We start from the raw sequence: 23,186 nt of genomic DNA on the forward strand, positions 1-23,186 counted from the left end.
CATAGAAAACCCAAAATACTCTACAACTATATTTGTACATTTAACAAGTACATATAGCAAGTTTGGTAGATTAGATTAGCAATTTACAAAATCAATTGTATTTTTCATATCTGGCACAAACTGTTAACAAATCAGTTTTTAAAATGTAACTATTAAAAGACATCAAACATATAAAGTGCCTTGGAATAAATCTAGAAAAAGATGTGCAAAACTCTAGGTAATATTAGGAATCTTATATCTTATTGAATGAAGACTTAAAGGAGAGATCCACTATATTCTTGAATCGGAAGACTCAATTTTATCAACATTATCTCTCAATTAACCTAAATATTTGATGCAATTTTAATTAAGATTGCAACACATATTAGTGTATTTTCAACTAAAAAATCTAACTCTAAATCTTTAGCACCATGCAAAGCATCTCAGTATAAATTTTCACAAAATTCATGCATTCCCGCACTAGCAAGTACATACAGTTACACTTATAGCAACACATTTTTAATGCCCCTAATTTGAAAACAACCCACATATCCATAATATGGATAAACAGTTACATATTTGTAATTAAAATATCATATAGAGATGAAAATGAATTAACTACAGCTATAAGTAGTAATATGTTTCAATCTCACGAGCAACACTGAAAGAAAAACAACAGAAAATTATAATTTCGTTTATATAAAAAGTAAAACTAGCTAAAACTAAACTGTATTTTAAGATGTTTGAAAAAAATAGTTAGTTAAAAAGTTAGAAGAAGCAGGGAACTAATTAAACACTGTGATTTGAGAGACCAAAATAGATGTCCCTTTATTAATTAAGACTTACCCTAATGTTAAGGGAAAAAACGTTACCTAAGATTAAATGGTTCAAGGCTTGGCTGGCATGGCAACTCCCTAAACTCTTACTGCTGCAAGAAAACCTACACTCTTGCTAAACTCTCTAACAATTGGAACTGTCAGGCAAATTATCAGACACCTCCTCACTCCAACTTACAACCCAGACTGCTATAACTGTACTTAAACAGGCAACCAGCCTTACATTCTTTTCTGATAAGCAGCTTGCAGACCTCAAGCCAGTTTCAACCAGCTCATAGAGACTGTGCACAAACTGTCTGTGTCCTCTAGTTCATCTTTTGGTGTAAAGAGCCAAATTCCACCTCATTTCAATGCTAAAACCCCACCTCAAACTGAATATTGGATATATATTACATATATGTTTGCCCATTGCACATGCACTTGACCACCCTCATAAATATATATAGCCTTTCCATAAAACCTGTTGAATATGTATGACTCTATTGCATGATACAGGCCCTGTGAGGCATAGAACCTGACCTGCCATTTACTTCCAAGACAGAACATCTTTGGCACACACCAGAGACTTAGTTTCCAGTTTGCAAGCTGAGTTTCCAGTTTGCAAGCTGATTATCATGAGTACAACTCTCCTTTCTATTACTTAGCCATCCTAGTGGTCTTTTGGACAACATCAGAAAAGTTAGGATCACAGTTATTTTCTAGGACTGGGGGATTGGATTGTAATGATGGAGAGACATGCAGAGTGTTGTGATATACTACCAATGTTCCCTTTCTTGACCAGGGTAGAGCTTAAATAGATTTGCACTTTATAACTGTATTTTTTTAACTTTTATTTTAAGTTCAGGAGTATATGTGCAGGCTTGTTATATAGGTAAACTTGTGTAATGGGGGTTTGTTGTACAGATTATTTAATCACCAAGGTATTAAGCCTAGTACACATTAGTCATTTTTCCTGATACTCTCCCTCCTCCTATGCTCCACCCTCCAATAAGCCCTAGTGTGTATTTTCCCCCCTCTGTGTGTCCATGTGTTGTCATCATTTAGCTCCATTTATATTCACTTTATAACTGCATGTTAATTTGCACATATGTTTTATGTATCTATCTGCTTGTATATTACATTTAAATTTAATGCAAATTGATTTAATATTAAATACCTATAGTTACATATATATTATTTATAAGATAAATACATTTATATCATGAAAGTACTAAGTACATTAAAAGACATACATTAATAGAAAGATAGAATGAAATAATATCACAAAGATATATATTTTCCCTAAATTAATCTACAAATTCAATTTAATTCCAACCAACATTCCAAAAACAAATTTCTGGTGCTACTCACTGATTCCCAACTTCTATGGAAGAGGAACAGTTCAAGGATAGCTGAGACGATTCTAAAAAAAAAATGGAGAGATTGTTTCTGTCAGGTTTGGGATATATAACATACATCGTATAACTATAAATGATTGAGACACAATGGTATTGGTATATAAATAAAGAAAAAGAACACACAGTACAACAAAAACATAAGTTAGAAATAATACGTCTAAACATAAATGGTATTTTGATAGAAAAATTGTATGACATAGAGGCTAAACATAACGGATTCTGCAACCAAACTGCTTTGTTTTCAATATCAACTCTGCCATTTAATAACTATGTAGTTTGAGGCTACTTAGTTTCTCTTCTGTGCTTTAGTTTACTCAACTACATAATGGAAATAATGGTAGCATCTATCTAATGTATTATTGTCAATAATATATAAAGTATTTAAAACGGTGTCGGGTATTTATTAAATGGTTATTATTTATTATGATGGTTGTTTTTTATTATTTCTATTATGAAAAATCAATGGAAACAGAATGATTAAACTAATGCTTTTACAAAAATAAGCTTTCCATAAATTAGAGCTCTAATCAAGGTGGATTAAAATGTAAACATTAGAAATGAATCTTTTAAAAAATAGCAAATATCAAACTTTATAATACGAAAGGAAGAGTTAAATAAAATGCAAAAACATCAAGAAAATATATCCACGATAGAGAGTAGAATGGTCCTTCAGGAACTGGGGTAGTGAGGGATGGGGAGTGTTGGGGAGCTGTTGGTCAAAGGATACAAAGCTTCAGTTAGATAAGAAGAATAAGTTCAAGAGATCTTTCTACAACACGGTGACTATAGTTAATAACATTGTACTGTATTCTTGAAAATCACTAAGAGAGTAGATTTCAGGTGTTCTCACCACTAAAATAATTTCGTGAAGTGGTGTATATGTTAATTAAGTAAATTTAGCCATTCTACAATGTATGCATTTGTGTACATATATATTTCAAAAATCATGTTGTACACAGTAATCACGTACAATTTTATCTGTCAACTAGAAAGAAAATATTGATGTGTCTTACATTTAATATAACTATATTTATGTATGATAATGGACACCATAGCAAAGTTAGTTAAAAAAAAAAACAATAGTCTTGGAGAGTGTACTCATATAACCAAGGAAATATCAGCACTCAAACCATATAAAAATCTTCTACAAATCACATAGAATAAGACAATAAATCCAACAGGCAAATGCCTAAAGGACATGGGCATGAAATTCATACAACACTACAAAAGAAAACACATAGAGCTACTAAACATATGAAAAAGTCTAGTGTTCACTAATAATCATGGAAATAAAAATTAAGCAACAGTAATATAATATTCACACATACTACATTAGGTGAAATATGATGGCTTTTTTATGAAGTGTTTGAGTGTGTTGCCAAGAATGTAGGAAAATAAAATTATCCATGCCATGCTGGTGTTGTTTACGCTTTAGAGAGGAATTTGGTGATAGCTAGTATATTTGGAAATATGCATATCCTATCAACCATTAGTGTCTCACACTAGTACACAAGACAGGCAGATCAATGTTTATTGCACTATTGTTTATGCTAACAAAAAGTACCAAAAACAAATGGCTTTCAGTAAGACATTGAATAAACTGTGGTATGCATTTACAGTTAAATACTACATAGTGATTGAAACAAAAATCTCTCTGTCTCTCTCATATGTATGTGTATATATATGTATGTGTATATGTGTGTATCAACATAAATATACCTCAACAATTATATTGAATGTGAGAAGCAAGTTTTGGAACATATGTAAATATGTATATAAGTAAAATAAATATGTATATATGTAAAATAAATCATAATACTTTATATTGTCTATAAAGGTACAATATGTTATACAATGATAAAGACATGGATTAGATAGACACATCGTAAGAGTATGGTTATCTCATGGAAAGAGGGAAATTGGGAAAAAAGAGAGAAACGAAGTATTCAACTTTATAACATTAATTTTCTACCTATTTTAAATCATTTCAAAATATATTTTAAAAATTAAAATGTCAACTTTGGGGAATAAAACTGAGAAATAGGGAAGAGTTGTTTTATGTCTATGTCAAAAATCTTTTTGCCCTTTTTTGATTTTTTGCTATGTTACTTTGATTAAATAAAAACTTAAGAGCAACACTGAAATTTTAGAAATAGGAATTTCTGCTTTGGCCATAATGTAGTAACAGGGATCAGCTTTGTCCTCTCACTTTAAACAACTAAAAAAACACGACAAACAAGACAAAAAAAAGTACATACTGCAATATTAAATTTATATGTACTTATGGAATTAAATTTATATAAATTTGAGAAAGTAATTTATAGTGACAACAGGTCAGTGACAGCCTTGAGGTGGGAGTGGACGGAGACATGGAATACAAACAGACTTGAGGAAAATTTTAGTGGTGTGCAAATATTGGTCATTTTGATTGTAGTGATAATTTTGTATACATATGTCAAAACCAATCAAATTGTATAAGAAGTTCAAATCATCCAAAAACTATTAACTATACTGTACCAAGCACTGTGATCTACTTCTTCTCAATCATGTATGACCTTATGAAATCTTGCTGTTTTACTGCAAATCACTTATGCCAATTTCTAATTATGTATTTATTAAACAATATGATTAATATCTGCCGCTACCACTAGTCTGTAGAATCCATGATGGCAACAAGCCTGTCTTCTTTTCCTCATTATCATTTCCCAGTGCTAGTATATTGGCTGGCAAATTTCAGGTATTCAATAAGTATTTACCAAAATAATACTAACAGTAGGTTCTCCAAGATGTACAGGACACAGTCCCTAACCTCAAGAAGCTCATAATCTTAGATGTCAAGTTTTACTGAATCCACTATTAGTAGTAAGAAGAGTAAGGTATAAAAGTGACATTTGAATTTGTCAATAAGTTAGACCCTCATGACCTTAAAAAAGAACTGTAATATGATAGATAATTAGATACCTCAACTGTTATGTTGAGAGGATGCTACTAGATTGAAATTAAGTCTATGTTTTCACTTGTGCAAAAACAAAACAGCTTTGATTGGTGATTATAACACCATAACAATTCAAAGCAGCTGCAGCATTAAGAACAGATAACCACAAGTTTGAAAGTTCAGGAGGAACCAGTTTTTGCTCCTGCATTTGTTTTCTTAAGCCTAATCTGTCACGATACTGGCACAATGTTCTCACAAATATAATTATGAAAATGGTACTGTCAAAAAAAAGAACAAGTAGAAATTAAAAGTTGCCCTGACTATCCTTATATACTTCATAGTCAGCATAGACTGTTAGTCTATGAATAGTTGATTTCTCCATAAACGTAAGAACACAGTGTATATGAAGCTTTATTTCATCATGTCATCTTGTACAAAATCCTGTCTCTGTAATTGCATTTTACATTTTTTCTGGCACTGGCTCATTTTCTATTTTTTACTATTTTTTCAACCTTTCTGGATATATGTGTCATAATATACTAGGTTATGCTTTAGTAGCAAACATTCCCACCCCAAAATCTAAATGGCTTACATCAGAAAATGTTTATTTATCACTCGCGCAATGTATCTCTAGAGGGTTAAATATAGCATTCTGATCCTCTATGTTGTATCAATGTCATTATTAATCAGAGGACAGGCTAATGGCAAAATCGTCATTTTGAGCATTGCGGTTATCAATGACAGAAGAAAACACAAACTTTGCTTTATCATAGCACAGCTAATACTGTTTTTAAAGCTTCTACATTAAAGTGGAAAACATTGCTTCTACTCACATTCCATTGGCCACATCAACTGATGATATGACCACTTCTGAGTTCAATAGGGTAGGAATGTATAATCTTTCCAGAGAGGGAGACACTGGATATTGATGAACATAAATAGAGTCTACTACATTGAATTTTCACCAAGCTTAATCAGGTACGTTTACTAAATGAGCAGTTATTATAGTTGTAAAGTACCAAGAGGTTGTGTAGAATAAGAACTCAGGCTCTGTAGTATATCTCCTCAGGGTTAAATCCTGCCTCTGCCATTTAGTAGATGTCTGACCTTTGGCTAATTGCCCTTTCTGTACATCCAGTCTTTAATTTTGCAAAACAATGATTATAAAAATAACACCTGGCCGGGCACAGTGTCTCACGCCTGTAATCCCAGCACTTTAGGAGGTGGAGGTGGGTGGATCCCTTGAGGTCAGGAGTTCAAGACCAGCCTGGCCAATGTGGTGAAACCCCATCTCTACTAAAACTACAAAAAAAAAAAAATAGCTGGGGGTGGTGGTGGGCGCCTATAATTTCAGCTACTTGGGAGACTGAGGCAGGAGAACCACTTGAACCCGGGAGGCAGAGGTTGCAGTGAGCTGAGTTAGCACCACTGCACTCCAACTTGAGTGACAGAGTGAGAGTCTGTCTCAAAAATAAAAATAAAATACCTGCCTTGCAGGACCATTGTTTTAATTTAGAGAGCAGGTGTCATACACATAGAAAGCATATTTCAGATGTGGTAAATGCTCAATAAATTTTTTTTCCTCTGCCTCTTCCTCTCTTCCTTCTCCTCCTCCTCCTCCTCCTTGTTCTTCTTCTTCTTTTTCTTCCTCTAACTATTCGTGTTAGGTTATTCTCATATTGTTATAAAGAAACACCTGAGACTGTGTAATTTACAATGAAAATATTTTAATTGCCTCACCATTTAGTAGACTGTACAGGAAGCATGATGCTGGTATCTGCTCAGCTTCTGAAGAGGCTCTAGGAAGCTTACAATCATGGGAAAAGGTGAAGCAAAGCAGGCATGTCACATGGCCAGAGCAGGATCATGAGGGAGATGGGGAAGGTGTCACACACTTTTAAATGACCAGATCTCCTGAGAACTCACTCACTATTATGAGGACAGCACCATGGGAATGGTGCTAAACCATTAATGAGAAACCTGCTCCATGATTTAATCTCTTCCCACCAGGCCCCACCTCCCACACTGGGGATTATAATTCATCATGAGATTTGGGTGGGGACACACATTCAAACTATATTATTATTATTTCATATCAGGTATTGGTAAACATATCTCATTTAATTTCCAAGATTCCTAACAATTCTTTGAGAGAGATATTCATATGCTAATTTGAAAGATGAGATGGCAGAAGTTCAAGGTAATGAAGTAAAATATCTAAAGTTACACATTTGGCAAGACTACAATTTGAATACCATCCTTCCTGACTACAAGCTCTTTGCTGGTTTCCACAGCTTTTATCTATTTGTTGATATTCTGTTGTTCTATAGTTTTACTTGAAACAAAATTCAATTTAATATTGGTGATTTCTCCAGCTATCACATAGGTAGTGTTATCATGCTTTGCAAAATTGTTTTTATGGCCAATACTTCTAAGCTCTACATTTTCACAGTTGCCATTTACAGCTTTTGGTTATAAACACGCGGGACATCTTTTCTCGCCTCCAAACCTGGAGAGAGCCATGACATTTCAGGGATGGAAACTGGAAGCACCTCTCCACAGCTCCTTGTAATCAGGCACTCAGTACTCTAATGGCTTAAAAGTACACTTAGGTTTTTTTTTTTAATGATTTTATGCATCCCTTCAATCTTTGTTACTGAGATCTCCTTATTGAATAAATTAACTTTTACAGACATTTATTTTTTTCACACATATCAACGATATTCATTATGTTGTGTAAGGCCATAAATTTGTCTATACATATTTATTGAATATATGTATATATTTATATTTTAAAACCAACTGTAACTCAATGTTGTTTTGATTATCTTGTTACCATACTAGTAAAACATATTAATCCATGTATTCACTCAGCAAATTATAAAGTAGCTACTCTGTATTTACAATGTTACATAATATATATTCCTTGCCCTCAAAGAGTTTATAATCTAGGGCAATCTAGGATTATCAACAACATAGTTATTGGAAGTGCTTGTTAAAATGTAGAACTCTGGGCTTCACCCAGACCTAGAGAATCAGAATCTCTAGGAATGGGTTTCAAGAATCTACATATTAATAATATTCCTCAAGTAATTTTGATTTAGAATAAAGTACAAAACCTGTGGGTTAGTGTCTAATTCAAATTACATCAAAACACAAGATCAAACATTAGCACTTATAAGTGAAAAATAATTTAGTGATCTTTTGGTGTATCATAAAACTACATTTAACACATGAGAAAACTGAGATACAGAAATTAGATTGTGCAAATTTGCTTATCCTGTAGACATATCTGCATCTAGAAACTAGATCTCTTCAAATTTAAGAGAGAAAATATGTATTATTATTAAATACATTGAGAGGAGGAGGCTGAGCAAGATGGCATAATAGGAGGCTTCACTGATCATACCTGTCCCCACAAAGACACCAATTAAAAAACTGTCTACACAAAAAAGCACCTTTATGATAACCAAATATCAGATAAGAACTCACAGTACCTTGTTTTAAATTTATATCACTGAAAAGTCACTGAAGAGGTTAAAAAAAAAAAACAGCCTTGAAGCACCAACATCATCCCTCACCCAGGACCCTATAGCAGGGGCATGGAGCAGAGAGCGTTTCTGTGTGCTGGGGGAGGGAAAGTGCAGCAATCATGAGGCATTAAACTCAATGCTGTCCTGTTATAGCAGAAAGGAAAACCAGACTAAACTCAGCCTATTCCCACCCATGGAAGGAGCATTTAAACCAACCCTAGCCAGAGGGAAATTACCAATTCCAGCAGTTGGATTTTGAGTTCCTGCAAGCTTTGCCATCATGGGCTAAAGTGCTCTGGGTCTCTAAATAAACATGAAAGATAGTGTAGGTTGCGACTCCAAGTGAGTCCTACTGCTGAACTGGGTCCAGATCCAGGGGACTTGGAGTGGGGGGTGGGGTGTAACCTACTGAGACACCAGCGGGGGTGGCTAAGGAAATGCTTACATCACCTCTCTCCTAACACAAAGTCGCAGAGCCCTTGGCTCCAAAAGAGACCTAATCTTTCCATTTGAGGAGATGAGAGGAAAGAGTAGGGAGGACTTTGTCTTGCATCCTAGATACCAGCTCAGCCACTGCAGGATAGAAAAATGGTCAGAGTTGTGGGAACCCCTCTCAAGGCCCTAGCTCCAGGATGACATTTCTAGATACACCATAGGCCAGAGGGAACCTGGTGTATTGAAAGGAAGTACCCATTTCTGGCAGTATTCATCTCTTGCTAACTGAAGATACTTTGGACACTGAATAACCAGCAGTGATACCCAGGTACTACGTGGAGGGCCACGAAGAGATCCTGAGACTTGTTGGCTTCAGGTGAAACTCAGAACCTTCCTATCTCTGTTAACTATGGGGCAAGACTCCATCTGCCCCATAGTTGAGAAAAGCAGAGGAGAAAGTAAAGGAGAATTTGTGGTGCACTTTAAGTACCAGCTTGGCCACAGGGTGGTAGAGAACCAAGTGGGCTCTTCAGGTGCCTGATTTCAGGATTTGGCTCTTGGATAGCACTTCTGGTCCTGCACTGGGCCAGAGGGGAGCCCATTGCCCTGAAGGGTGAGTCACAGACCAGGTAACATTTACCATAAGCCGAGTGGAGGGCCCATAGGCCTTACGGGACCATCAGTGGTGGTCTGACAAGACTACCCATGAGCCTGTGGTGGCGGTGGCCACAGATGAGGCTCCTAAGCCTTTGGAACAGGGAGGGAAGAGTAGGAAGAACTGCATCTTGTGGTTTGAGTTCCAGCTCAGCTGCAGTACCATAGAACACCAAGTAGACTTCTAAGGTTTTTGACATGAGTCCCTGGCTCCTGGACAGCACCTCTGGAACTACCCTGTGCCTGGGGAAACTCACCACCCTGAAGGGAAGGACATAAGCCTGTCTGGCTGTGTCACCTGCTGAAATTAGAGCCTCAGGGCTGTGGGCAAATGTACACAATAGCCAAATAATAGTTCAAGCAAACATTAAGCAAGACCCAGTGTTGTGCTCACTTTAGGTCTGACCCAGAACAGCCATAGTGGGGCTGGTCGCATAGGTGGTTATGTCACATCACCCTACACTTCAGGGGGCTCAAAAACAGAAAGGGAGAGAGACTCTGTTTGGGAGAAAGTAAAAGAAGAGAAAAAGAGTCCTTGCTTGGTAGTCCAGAGAATTCTCCCAGATCTTGTCCAAGATTATCAAGGTGCTATCTTCAAATGTCTGCAAGAACCACAGCATTACTGGGCTTGAGGTGCCACCTAAAGGAGATACAGCTTTGATCACAATATTCAAGTACTTTTGAATATCTGGAAAGCCTTCCAAAGAAGGACAAGTACAAACAAGCCCAGACTGTGAAAAATGCAATGAATACCTAAATCTTCACTTCCCAGACACAGATGAACCCCTGCAGGTATCAAAACACCAGTAAAACATGACCTCACCAAATGAACTAAACAAGGCACCAGGGACCATTCCTGGAGAAACAGAGCTACATGACCTTTCAAATGAAGAATTCAAAATAGATATCTTGAGGAAACTCAAATAAATTCAATATAATACAGAAAAAGAACTCAGAATTCTATCAGATAAATTTAACAAATAGATTGAAATAATTTTTCAAAATCAAGCAGAAATTTCAAAGACGAAAATGCAATTGACATTCTGAAAAATGCATCAGAGCCTTTTATTAGCAGCATTGATCAAACAGAAGAATTAGTCATCTTAAAGACAATTTCAAAATATAGTCAGAAAAGACAAAAGAATAAAGAACATAAAACAATAAAGCATGCCTACAGGACCCAAGAAAATAGCTTCAAATGGCAAATCTAAGAGTTACTGGCCTTAAAGAGGAGGTAGAGGACAAGATAATGGTAGAAAGTTTATTCAAAAAGATAATAACAGAGAACTTCCCAATCTAAAGGAGATATCAGTATCCTGTACAAGATTATAGAACACCAAGCAGATTTAATCCAAAGAAGAGTATCCCAAAGCATTTATGAACAAAATTCCCAGAGATGAAGGATAATGAAGGAATCCTAAAAGCAGCAAGAGAAAAAAAAAATAACATAAAATGGAGCTCAAATATGTTTGGCAACAATAATATAACTAGTAAAAAGATTTCTTAAACATGAAGTTGAAATAAAAACTTTTCCAGAAAAACAAAGGCTGAGGGATTTCATTGTCACCAGTCCTATTCTACAAGAAACACTAAAGGAAGTATTTCAATCAGTAAGAAAAGGACATTAATGATCAATAAGAAATCATCTGAAGGTACAAAACTCACTGGTAATAATAACTACACGGAAAAACACAGAATATTATAACATGGTAACTGTGGTGTGTAAACTATTCTTAAGTAGAAAGACTAAATGATGAATCAATAAAAAATAACAAATACAACAACTTTCAAGACATAAATAGCAAAATAATATATACAGTTAAAAAGCCAGGAGATGAAGTTAAGATTTCGTTTTTGCTTAGTTTTTTAGTTTGATTAGGTTTTTTGTTTTTTTTCTGGCTTGCATGCTTGTTTGTTCATACAAACTGTTAATTTGTAATCATATTGAAATAATGAGTTAGAAGATAGTGTTTGCAATGTCATGGTAACCTGAAACCAAAAAACATACAATGGCTACACAAAAAATAAAAGCTAGAAACTAAATCATATCACTAGTAAAAAAAATAATAACTTGAACAGACTACTAACAAGTAGTAAGATCAAAGTCATAACAAAAAGTTTCCCAGTATAGAAAAGCATGGCATCCGATGACCTCACTGCTGAATTCTACCAAACATTTAAAGAAGAACTAATACCAACCCTAGTTAAATTATCCCAAAAAATAAAAGAGTTGAGAATATTTCCAAACTCATGTATAAGGACAGTATTACCCTGATATAAACACCAGACAAAGGCACATCAAAAAAATACAAAAGACCTATATCTCTGATGAATATTGATGCAAAAATCCTCAAGAATATACTAACAAACTAAATTCAACAATGCATTACAAATATTATTTATCATGACAAAGTGAGATTTATCCCTGTGATGCAAGGATTGTTCAACATATGCAAATCAATCAATTTGATACATCATCTCAACACAATGAAGGACAAAAAATGTATGTTCATTTCAAATGGTTTGACATTTATTGATGATGAAACTCTTCAAAATCTGGGTAGAGAAGAAACATAACTCAACCTAACAAAGGCCATGTATAACAAAATGTTGTACATTTTCGCCTCTGTTAGTGTCATAATGAATTGGGAAAAACAGAAAGTCATTCCTCTAAGATCTGAAACACAGCAAGTATACCCACTTTCACCACTGTTGCTGAACATAGTCCTGGAAAGTCCTAGCTAGGGCAATCAGACAAGAGAAAGAAATAAAGGACATACAAATTGCAATCAAAGAAGTCAAATTAACCTTATTTGTGGCTGATATGATCTTATATTTGGAAAAATCTAAAGAGTCCACCAGAAAACTACTAGAACTAATGAACAAATCCAGGAAATTTGCAGGATACAAAATAATTCTATAAAAACCTGTAGCATTCTTATAAGCCATCAGTGAACAATCTGAAAAAGAAATAAAAAATGTAATGCCATCTACAATAGCTACAAATAAGCAGGAATTGACTTAAGCAAAGATGTGGAAGATCCCCATAATGAAAACTTTAAAATACTGATGAAAAAAATTGAAGAGGTCACAACAAATTAAAAGTACATTCTATGTTCATGGATTGGAAGAATCAGTACTGTTAAAATGTCCATACTACCTAAAGCAATCTATAGATTTGATGTAATCCCTATTAAAATACAAACAACATTCTTCACAGAAATAGAAAAATGCCATCCTAAAGTTAATATGGAATCACAAAAGATCCAAAATAGGCATAGCTATCCTGAGCAAAAAGAACAAAACTGGAGGAATCACATTACCTGGTTTCAAATTATACTACAGAGGTATAGTAACCAAAACAGCATGGTACTGACATAAAAACAGACACATATGCCAATGGAATGAGATAGTGAGCTCAGAAAGAAACCCACACAGCCATAAATGAACTCATTTTTGACAAAGTTGCCAAGAACACACAATGAAGAAAGCACAGTCTCTTCAATAAATTGTACTGTGAAAACTATTCATACAAAGAACAATGAAACTAGACCTCTATCACTTTCCATTTACAAAAATCAAATCAAAATCGATTGAAGGGTTAAATCTAAGATCTCGACCTATGAAACTACTACATGACAACATTGAGGAAACTCTCCAGGACATTGATCTGGACAAAAATATCTTGAGTAATACTGCACAAGCATAGGCAACCAAAGCAAAATGAACAAATTAGTTCAGATCAAGTTACAAAGCTTCTGCACAGAAAAAAAAATCAAAAAAGTGAAGAGACATTCCACAGAATAGAAGACAATATTAGCAAACTACCCACTTGATAAAGGATTAATAACCAGAATATATCAGGAGCTCAAACAACCCTGTAGAAAAAAATCAAATAATTCAATCAAAAAATGGGCAAAATTTTTGAATAGACATTTCTCTAAAGACATATAAATGACAAAGATCCACATGAAAGGGTCCTCAACATCATTGATCATCAGAGAAATGCAAATCAAAACTACACTGAGATATCATTTCACCTCAGTTAAAATGTCTTATATCCAGAAGACAGGAAATAACAAATGCTGACAAGGATGTTGTGAAAAGGAACTCTTGTACACTATTGGTGGGAATGTAAATTAGTACAACCTCTAAGGTAAACAGTTTGGAGGTTCCTCAAAAAACTAATAATAGAGCTACCATACAATCCAGCAATCTCACTGCTGTGTGCATACACTAAAGAAAGGACATCAATATATCAAAGAGATATCTGCACTTCCATAGTTGTTGCAGCACTGTTCACAATAGCCAAGATTTGAAAGCAACCTAAGTGTCTATCAACACCTTCTGTCCTTTTTTTTTTTTTTTTTTTTTTGACAGAGTTTCACTCTGTCACCCAGGTTGAAGTGCAGTGGCACAATCTCAGCTCACTGCAGCCTCTGTCTCTCAGGTTCAAGCTATTATCCTACTCAGCCTCCTGAGTAGCAGGGGTTACAGGTGCCGCCACCACTCCTAGCTAATTTTTGTATTTTTAGTAGAGACGGGGTTTCACCATGTTGGCCAGGGTGCTCTTGAACTTCTGACATCAGGTGATCCACCCACCTTGGCCTCCCAAAGTGCTGAGATTACTGGCATGAGCCGCTCTGGCCACTTAATCTTAGTGAAAACATATTTCCCCTCTTCTAACACAGGAAAGATGTAATCTTTACCTTCTCAGGTTACATTAGTAATCCATAGTAGAGTACAGGTGTTAAGATTTTAGAATCTGGAGTATTATAGACCCGAGTTTTGATTATGACTATATCATATACTAGATATCCGACATTGACAAACTCACTTAATCTTCATGTGCCTCAGCCTCCTTACCTGAAAAATCTATTTTTGAAGGTTTAATGAGCTAATGTAAGTAAAGCAATCAGTAGGGTGTGTAGCACATAGTAAGCACATATATGCTTTTAATCATTATCATCATTAATGAAACTCACCACACAGATCATTTTTAAACAGTTTTGCACAGGAAATACATGTAGGAAGACTAATTAGATTATCAGACACTTTAGAACAAAGGCCATTATTTGTATTAACTTTGTGGTTTGGACTTCAAACCAAAGTTTGAATTCTGACTTAGCTAGCAATTAGCTGTATGCCTTTGGGCAAATTACTTCACAACCTGTAAACCCCAGTTTTCTCAATTGTAAAACATAAAAATGCTAATAACTGCATTATTTTCATGTTATAATTTTTAAAAATCATCAACAGAAGTAATTTCAATAGAATCTTGCTTAGTAGGCATTCAACAAATATCAGATCCCATTATTACTCTTACTAAATATATTATAGATCATCAATGTTTGTTATTTGATTGGTTTTAAAAAGAATAAAATTAACAAAAACATAAAGTTTAGAATGTTTGATAAATATTCTTATTTAAAACCAGATTTTAGACTGGCTGGTTTGATACCCATATTTCTTTGTTCTGTTGCATGTCCATAAATATAGCTTCTGGCTCTCCCATTCAATTTTTTTTATAACAAGTGAAATTGGACAAATGCAGAAGTTGAATTTTCAGAATTAGTTACTTAAAATAAATAACCAAATGTTCATCCTCAAATAAGCAGTGAGTCTTTTTTTCTGTCTTTTTTCTTTTTCTTTTTGGTAAAATTGATCCATAAGGTAAAGTTATTTTTAGAAGTACAAACCAAAACATGCATTCCTTCAAAAATGGCTAATCCTTTCATTTCACTGGATATCAGAATAACCCACTTGCAATCAACATTTTATCCTCTGAATATTTTAGCAACACTAATGAGATAATGAGAACTTAACTAGAGATTATAAATTTTTGAAACGTGTATTTAAAAAAATTTGACTACAACTCAAGGTCAATGAATGAAATCATTAACAAACCCTCATTACTTAGCAGTGACCTCTAATAACATTCATTTTAAATTTGCCTTTGGGACTTTTAATTGTTCTTAGGAGGCTGTGGTTAGTCATTGCTTAAATATCATACATGTCACTATAATCATTAAAAGTATCATTCAATGGAAGATTTCAAGGGTGACATTATAGTTGAGACCTGACCTTCAAATGCTATGTTGTGCATCTGATGGCTTGGATTGATGCACTTCTCATAATAGAGGGTGTGGGCTATGTGCGTGGGCATGTATGAATGCATGTGTATGTCCAATGCCCTACTGTATGTAAAAGACATTTTAACCTCAAACATTGAAAAGAAAAGCTACATTTGAATAACTACATTGATAATGATCAGTTTGGTATATAAAAATTCTACTGCTTATTCATTCTCAATAATATATGAGCTCAGAGTTGCTTTTCTAGAATGAGGAGGATTTTTCACAAATCCATGGCAGGGACCTTATAATAGTAACTCTCTTCTAATAAGGAAGCATTGAAAAGTCATATGATCACATGGCAGTTGTACTTTCTCTCCCTTGGGGATAGAATTCCCCTTAAATAAAGTTAGGAAAGTTATTCCAAAGAAATAATTCTGTAAACACATAACATTTCTTTTAAAACTTAAGTTTTAGAAATATAGGATGGATTTAAAATTGTGTTTCTTCATCTGGCTCCTCCTTTCAGCCAGTTAATGTTTTGCTCTTATTATAATAACTTTATCTGCTTCTTCTCCCTCCTTCACCAGTACTGCTGTAAGCATGGCCTCCAGATGAACAGCTTCGGCATACTTCACTTGTTCTTGAGAATTCCAAATTGGCCAGTTATTTCCTCACCCTGTCTTTTGGACTCTGGGTTGAAGTTCAATTCAGAATTCACACTGAGTATGTCACCAAGAAAATGTGCTAGCACCCAATTCAATATAATCAGCTGATCATCACACAAAAGGCAAAACCAAAAATACCTAGGAATCCAGCTTACAAGGGACATGAAGGGCCTCTTCAAGGAGAACTATAAACCACTGCTCAATGAAATAAAAGAGGATACAAACAAATGGAAGAACATTCCATGCTCATGGGTAGGAAGAATCAATATCGTGAAAATGGCCATACTGCCCAAGGTAATTTATAGATTCAATGCCATCCCCATCAAGCTACCAATGACTTTCTTCACAGAATTGGAAAAAACTACTTTAAAGTTCATATGGAACCAAAAAAGAGCCCGCATCGCCAAGTCAATCCTAAGCCAAAAGAACAAAGCTGGAGGCATCATGCTACCTGACTTCAAACTATACTACAAAGCTACAGTAACCAAAACAGCATGGTACTGGTACCAAAACAGCATGGTACTGGTACCAAAACAGAGATATAGATCAATGGAACAGAACAGAGCCCTCAGAAATAACGCTGCATATCTACAACTATCTGATCTTTGACAAACCTGAGAAAAACAAGCAATGGGGAAAGGATTCCCTATTTAATAAATGGTGCTGGGAAAACTGGCTAGCCATATGTAGAAAGCTGAAACTGGATCCCTTCCTTACACCTTATACAAAAATTAATTCAAGATGGATTAAAGACTTAAATGTTAGACCTAAAACCATAAAAACCCTAGAAGAAAACCTAGACATTACCATTCAGGACATAGGCATGGGCAAGGACTTCATGTCTAAAACACCAAAAGCAATGGCAACAAAAGACAAAATTGACAAATGGGATCTAATTAAACTAAAGAGCTTCTGCACAGCAAAAGAAACTACCATCAGAGTGAACAGGCAACCTACAAAATGGGAGAAAATTTTCACAACCTACTCATCTGACAAAGGGCTAATATCCAGAATCTACAGTGAACTCAAACAAATTTACAAGAAAAAAACAAACAACCCCATCAAAAAGTGAGTGAAGGACATGAACAGACACTTCTCAAAAGAAGACATTTATGCAGCCAAAAAACACATGAAAAAATGCTCACCATCCCTGGCCATCAGAGAAATGCAAATCAAAACCACAATGAGATACCATCTCACACCAGTTAGAATGGCAATCATTAAAAAGTCAGGAAACAACAGGTGCTGGAGAGGATGTGGAGAAATAGGAACACTTTTACACTGTTGGTGGGACTGTAAACTAGTTCAACCATTGTGGAAGTCAGTGTGGCGATTCCTCGGGGATCTAGAACTAGAAATACCATTTGACCCAGCCATCCCATTACTGGGTATATACCCAAAGGACTATAAATCATGCTGCTATAAAGACACATGCACACATATGTTTATTGCGGCACCATTCACAATAGCAAAGACTTGGAACCAACCCAAATGTCCAACAATGATAGACTGGATTAAGAAAATGTGGCACATATACACCATGGAATACTATGCAGCCATAAAAAATGATGAGTTCATGTCCTTTGTAGGGACATGGATGAAATTGGAAATCATCATTCTCAGTAAACTATCACAAGGACAAAAAACCAAACACTGCATATTCTCACTCATAGGTGGGAATCGAACAATGAGAACACATGGACACAGGAAGGGGAACATCCCACTCTGGGGACTGTTGTGGGGTGGGGGGAGGGGGGAGGGATAGCATTAGGAGATATACCTAATGCTAAATGATGAGTTAATGGGTGCAGCACACCAGCATGGCACATGTATACATTTGTAACTAACCTGCACATTGTGCACATGTACCCTAAAACTTAAAGTATAATAATAATAATAAAAAATAATAATAATAATAATAAAGAGCATGACACAAAATGTAATTGGTAAATTCCCTCCCTCTGTTTCAAAACTTACTTTACTTTTTAATTATAGCCTTTGTACAATAAGAAAAATCTTGCATTTGGATTAGTGTTTTGTTAGTAAAATCTCAATAAAAAATTACCACCCTGTTAAGTAGTTAATACGTTCACATTGTTGAGTCATATAGATCTTTAGATAGTAAAAGCTATCATAAGATTGATAATAAATAAACATCAAAAGATATAAAAGTTTTGTCCATAAAAATATGAAATATGTCTACATTATTGAAGCATCTGGTACATATAATTATCTAAACCTCTGAAGAAAATCAAATAAGTTACAACATAGAATTTATTTAGCTGTCAAAAATCATTTGTTTCTGGAAAAAAAAAAGGCTGCCTTAGAAGCAGCCACATACATTTCAGGTTTAAAATGATATAGGCACATAACCAAGAAGGTAAAAGACCTGTATACTGAAAACTACAAAACATTGAGGAAAGAGATCAAAGACACAAATAAATGGGAAGATATCACATGTTCCTGAATTGAAACAATTAATACCAGAACAATATTAATTAATTAATATTAATATTGTCCATGTCAATACTACTAAAAATAATCTACAGGTTCAATGCAATTCCTGTCAAAATACTAGTGCCTTTCTTCGCAGAATTTTTTAAATCCTAACATTTCCGTGAAACCATGAAAGAGCTTGAATAGCCAAAGCAATCTTAAGCAAAAAGGACAAAGCTGGAAGCGTCACATTACCTGATTTCAAAATAAACTATAAAGCTTTAATAACATATTTTTACCCACCCCTCAAACAGAGCTGGGCTTACTTGGAGCAGAGAAAGCTTACAGTGATTATCAGCACTGTCATAAAAAGCAAAAGATGGTTTAAACTACCAGTGTGGCAAAGATCAAAGAAATAGACCAAACACAATATAAGTAAATGTTGGCAAGGGGATGAAAATTTGTAGAAACTTTCTAGAGGGCAATTTTTAATATTAAAATTATTTAAAATCTACAAACACTTTGAACCTACAACTCACTTCCAGAGGTATAACTAAAAAAAAAAAAATGTCCTTCAAATGAGATTCCCCATATGCCAGGAAAAGAATCCTAACATTTTTCTTTAGATACTTGCTCCCTTTCTCTGTACCCTGGGAAAGGAGTGTGTCTTATGAGATAAGAGACAGAGGGTATGCACCTGTTGAAAGTTATTGTCTGCTTTGAGGCTCCCCAGAAGTCCTTTCTCTAGACAAGAAATTTATTTTGTTGCCAGTGTTGCCAGTGGAACTTTGCGCAAAATGAAATAAATTAATCCTGGTTTATTTGATTATTGCTCTAAAAATCATATTGAGTCTGTTGATGGTTACAGTTTAAAGAACATTGAGATAATTCTAGTCTAACCCACTCACTTCATCAATAGGGGAAATCAAGCACAGAGAAGAGAAGATGTTTTTTTATCAAGAATACACAGTAAATTAGTAATCAACCTGAGACTTGAATATATGTTTGTTTCAATTCTAATCAAGTACCTTTGCTTCCACTATGCCACATTACCTGTATTTCTTACTAATTTTAATCATTCACCAGCTTGCATACACCATAAGGGCAGACACCTGGTTTTAATCACCTTTACAGAACTACATATTATAGTACAGTATGGATCACAAAGCAGATGTTTGCTAAAATGTTATCTAAACAAAGTAGTCACCACCAGAGAGGTGACAACCAAAAGAGATGATACAGAGACAGAGAGATAATCAGAGTTTGAGGTTTGGGTATGTTCCCAGTTGGAAAGTAGCGTGAACAGAAAGAGCTAGTGAATAAGTGTTCAAAGAACTAGAAAAAAAGTTTATCATTGTCTCAAGGAAGCCAAGTTAGGAACTTGAAGGACTAGTTTATATAGCCCTGGAGAGCAGGGACCCTATTAACTTGTTTTTTTGCAATGTTGTCATATTTGATTCATATAACCCTAAGCCTCTGGATCTAGGCCACATCCAATTCATATTTTGAAGAATTTTTTTCTTAGTACCAGCAAATATTTGACCTATCTAATAATTAACAGAACTGTAAATTGCAAAGATTTTTTTCAATGTAAGCAACTCAGGAACTTTCCTCCATGCTGCCAACGCTATGAATGAGTTTAGTCAGCATTTCTTGATGCTGCTTATAAAAGTTGTCTGGGAATATTGTGCTCTTAAGCAGAGATTACCGGAATGAGTCTTGGGCTTACAATAATCAAGATACCTGCAACCAGAAAAATAACTGAGGCAGCAGAATCCTCACCAAAGCTCTGAAGTACCACATCAAATAGATTCCTTTCAGGAGGAATTTGGCCTTGGCCTTAATTACTGTGTAGTATACAATATATTAAGTAGTGATACTGATATTGCTGCTGATAATAAACCAAGTAAGACCCCTATATGAGTGTATTATTTCAAGATACAGTAATTAGCATCCAACTAATAAACATACTTAGGATGCTTATTTCTAGGTTCTGAAATTTTACATTTATCTGTAAAATGAATTGTTTACAAAAAAAACTGAAGTGGTAAAATAAACATTGTTGATCTTCCCCCAGAAGTACAGTGATATGGTTTGGCTGTGTCCCCACACAAATCTCATCTTGAATTGTAATCCCCATAATCTTCATGTATAGAGGGAGGGACCCAGAGAGAGGTAATTGGATCATGGGGGTGGTTTCCCCCATGCTGTTCTCATGATAGTGAGTGAGTTCTCACAAGATCTGAGAGTTTTATAAGGGATTCTTCCCCCTTCACTTTTTTTCTGTCTTTCACCTGCCACTATGTAGGACGTGCCTCTTCCCCTTCCACCATGATTGTGAGTTGTTTTCGGAGGCCTCTTCAGCCATGCAGAACTGTGAGTCAATTAAATCTCTTTTCTTTATAAATTACCCAGTCTCAGGTACTATCTTAATAGCAGTGTGAGGACAGATTAATACATAAAAGAAGGAATCTAGGAAATTCTTATCCTGTCTACTCCTCATCCTCTATTGCTGCTAACAAGCTTTACAGGAAAGCAGTTCCCCTGATGCTAATAAATTGAAGTTAAAGGTAAAGCCTGTAAACTACTATATTTACAAGCCTAATGTAAGCTGTATGAAATTCAAGAATACTGCTTCAAAGAGCTAACAGTATAAGGAATATGTATCATTTTTTCACTATTTTTATTTAAACACCATTGAGGTAAAATGTTTTATTAATACATAAAAGGAAACCCACTTAATAAGCATGGTGTAAATTACTTGGATAGAGACTTAGATAATTACATAAAATAATTACATTTCCAGAGACATGCAATCTGATAGAATGGTGAAATAATGCTTGCAAGAAACATATTCCACAAGCGTTTGGGTAAGTCATATATTATTTGACACTTTGGAAATAAATTTCTTGTTAAGTGTAAAGTAATTATTTAGTTTACAGTAATTATACACAGACCATGTAATTAAAACATAATAATATTTCAACTCTTAAAAAGGGGTTCTGTTTGGAATTTAACATTGTAGAAACCTGTAGATAGCATGAAGTATAAACTTATTTTTAATCATTTTTTAAAAATTCTAATTAAAGAGATGACATGGTTCTGAAGACAAAATATATCAATAATGTAATAAAAATCTCAGGTGACTGAATAAGGAATACATAACAGAGAGATAAAAGAACTTTCAATGCTATAAAAATACCGCATTCTGAATCATACCTCCTGTATATTACATAGAGCAGAAGACCTGCAAATATAATTCTTCAAAATAACAGTTAAAAAATAATACACATTTGTATTCTGAGAATTCACAACTTTTTAAGTAAAATATTTATCTATAGCTTAAAGAAGACCTTTATGAAGAATATCAACTTAATTCTATTTAACAAGTATTTATTGGAAGCCTACCCACAGTGAAGTAGACACTGGAGGTATGAAAAGCAATAAGAACAAGAGTTCTGGCCCTGAGACGCTGTATCAAATGGAAGCCAGATGTATAAACAAATATTTTTAGAAAATAGGATGACCGCTATAGTCTACCTATGCACACAGTGTTGTGAATGTACAGATTATGGTTTAAGGGCTCCAAGGGAAGCTACAGAGAGAAAACACCTCATATCAGTCTTCAGAAAAGAGATCACTGGGTAGGGAAGCATGGAAAGGACATTCTAGAAATATGACATCATGATCGAAGACATGGCAGGATTTTGTGTGCTTGAAAAAGAGCTTGACTGGAACTTAAGACATTGATTCTCCTACTGGAAGGGAGAGAATCAGTCCCATCAAAATATCTTGTGGAGTTAAATGAAAATGAGTGATTCTTAGGTTCTACTTCTAAAGATTCTATTTCATTATGACTAGGATGTGGCTTAATCATCTCTTTGAAATTTTCTCAACTAATTTTGATACTCAGTATTTTTAATTCAGTAGCTCTAGATTGGTGACATTTTAAAGGAGAATTATATTTTATCTTGATGGAGATGGTCCCTGGTCCATATTACAGCAAAATAGGCTTAGTGTGTTAGGAGATAAAATGACTTAGATCAAGGCTAAAATGCAGAATATTTCATGTATTTTATGTTAGAGAGTTTGGTCTTTAGTTTTGGTTGTATTTTGGTCTTTATTCAGGCAATAAGAAGTTACAAAAAAAGTGGCCTAAAATAACAATACATTATTTGACTCGCTATGCTGAAGATTTGCTCTGCTAGATGTTTTCTCTGATCTTGGCTAGAATTCCTC

This window comes from Homo sapiens, chromosome X (assembly GCF_000001405.40).
Source record: "Homo sapiens chromosome X, GRCh38.p14 Primary Assembly".
NCBI lineage: Eukaryota > Metazoa > Chordata > Mammalia > Primates > Hominidae > Homo > Homo sapiens.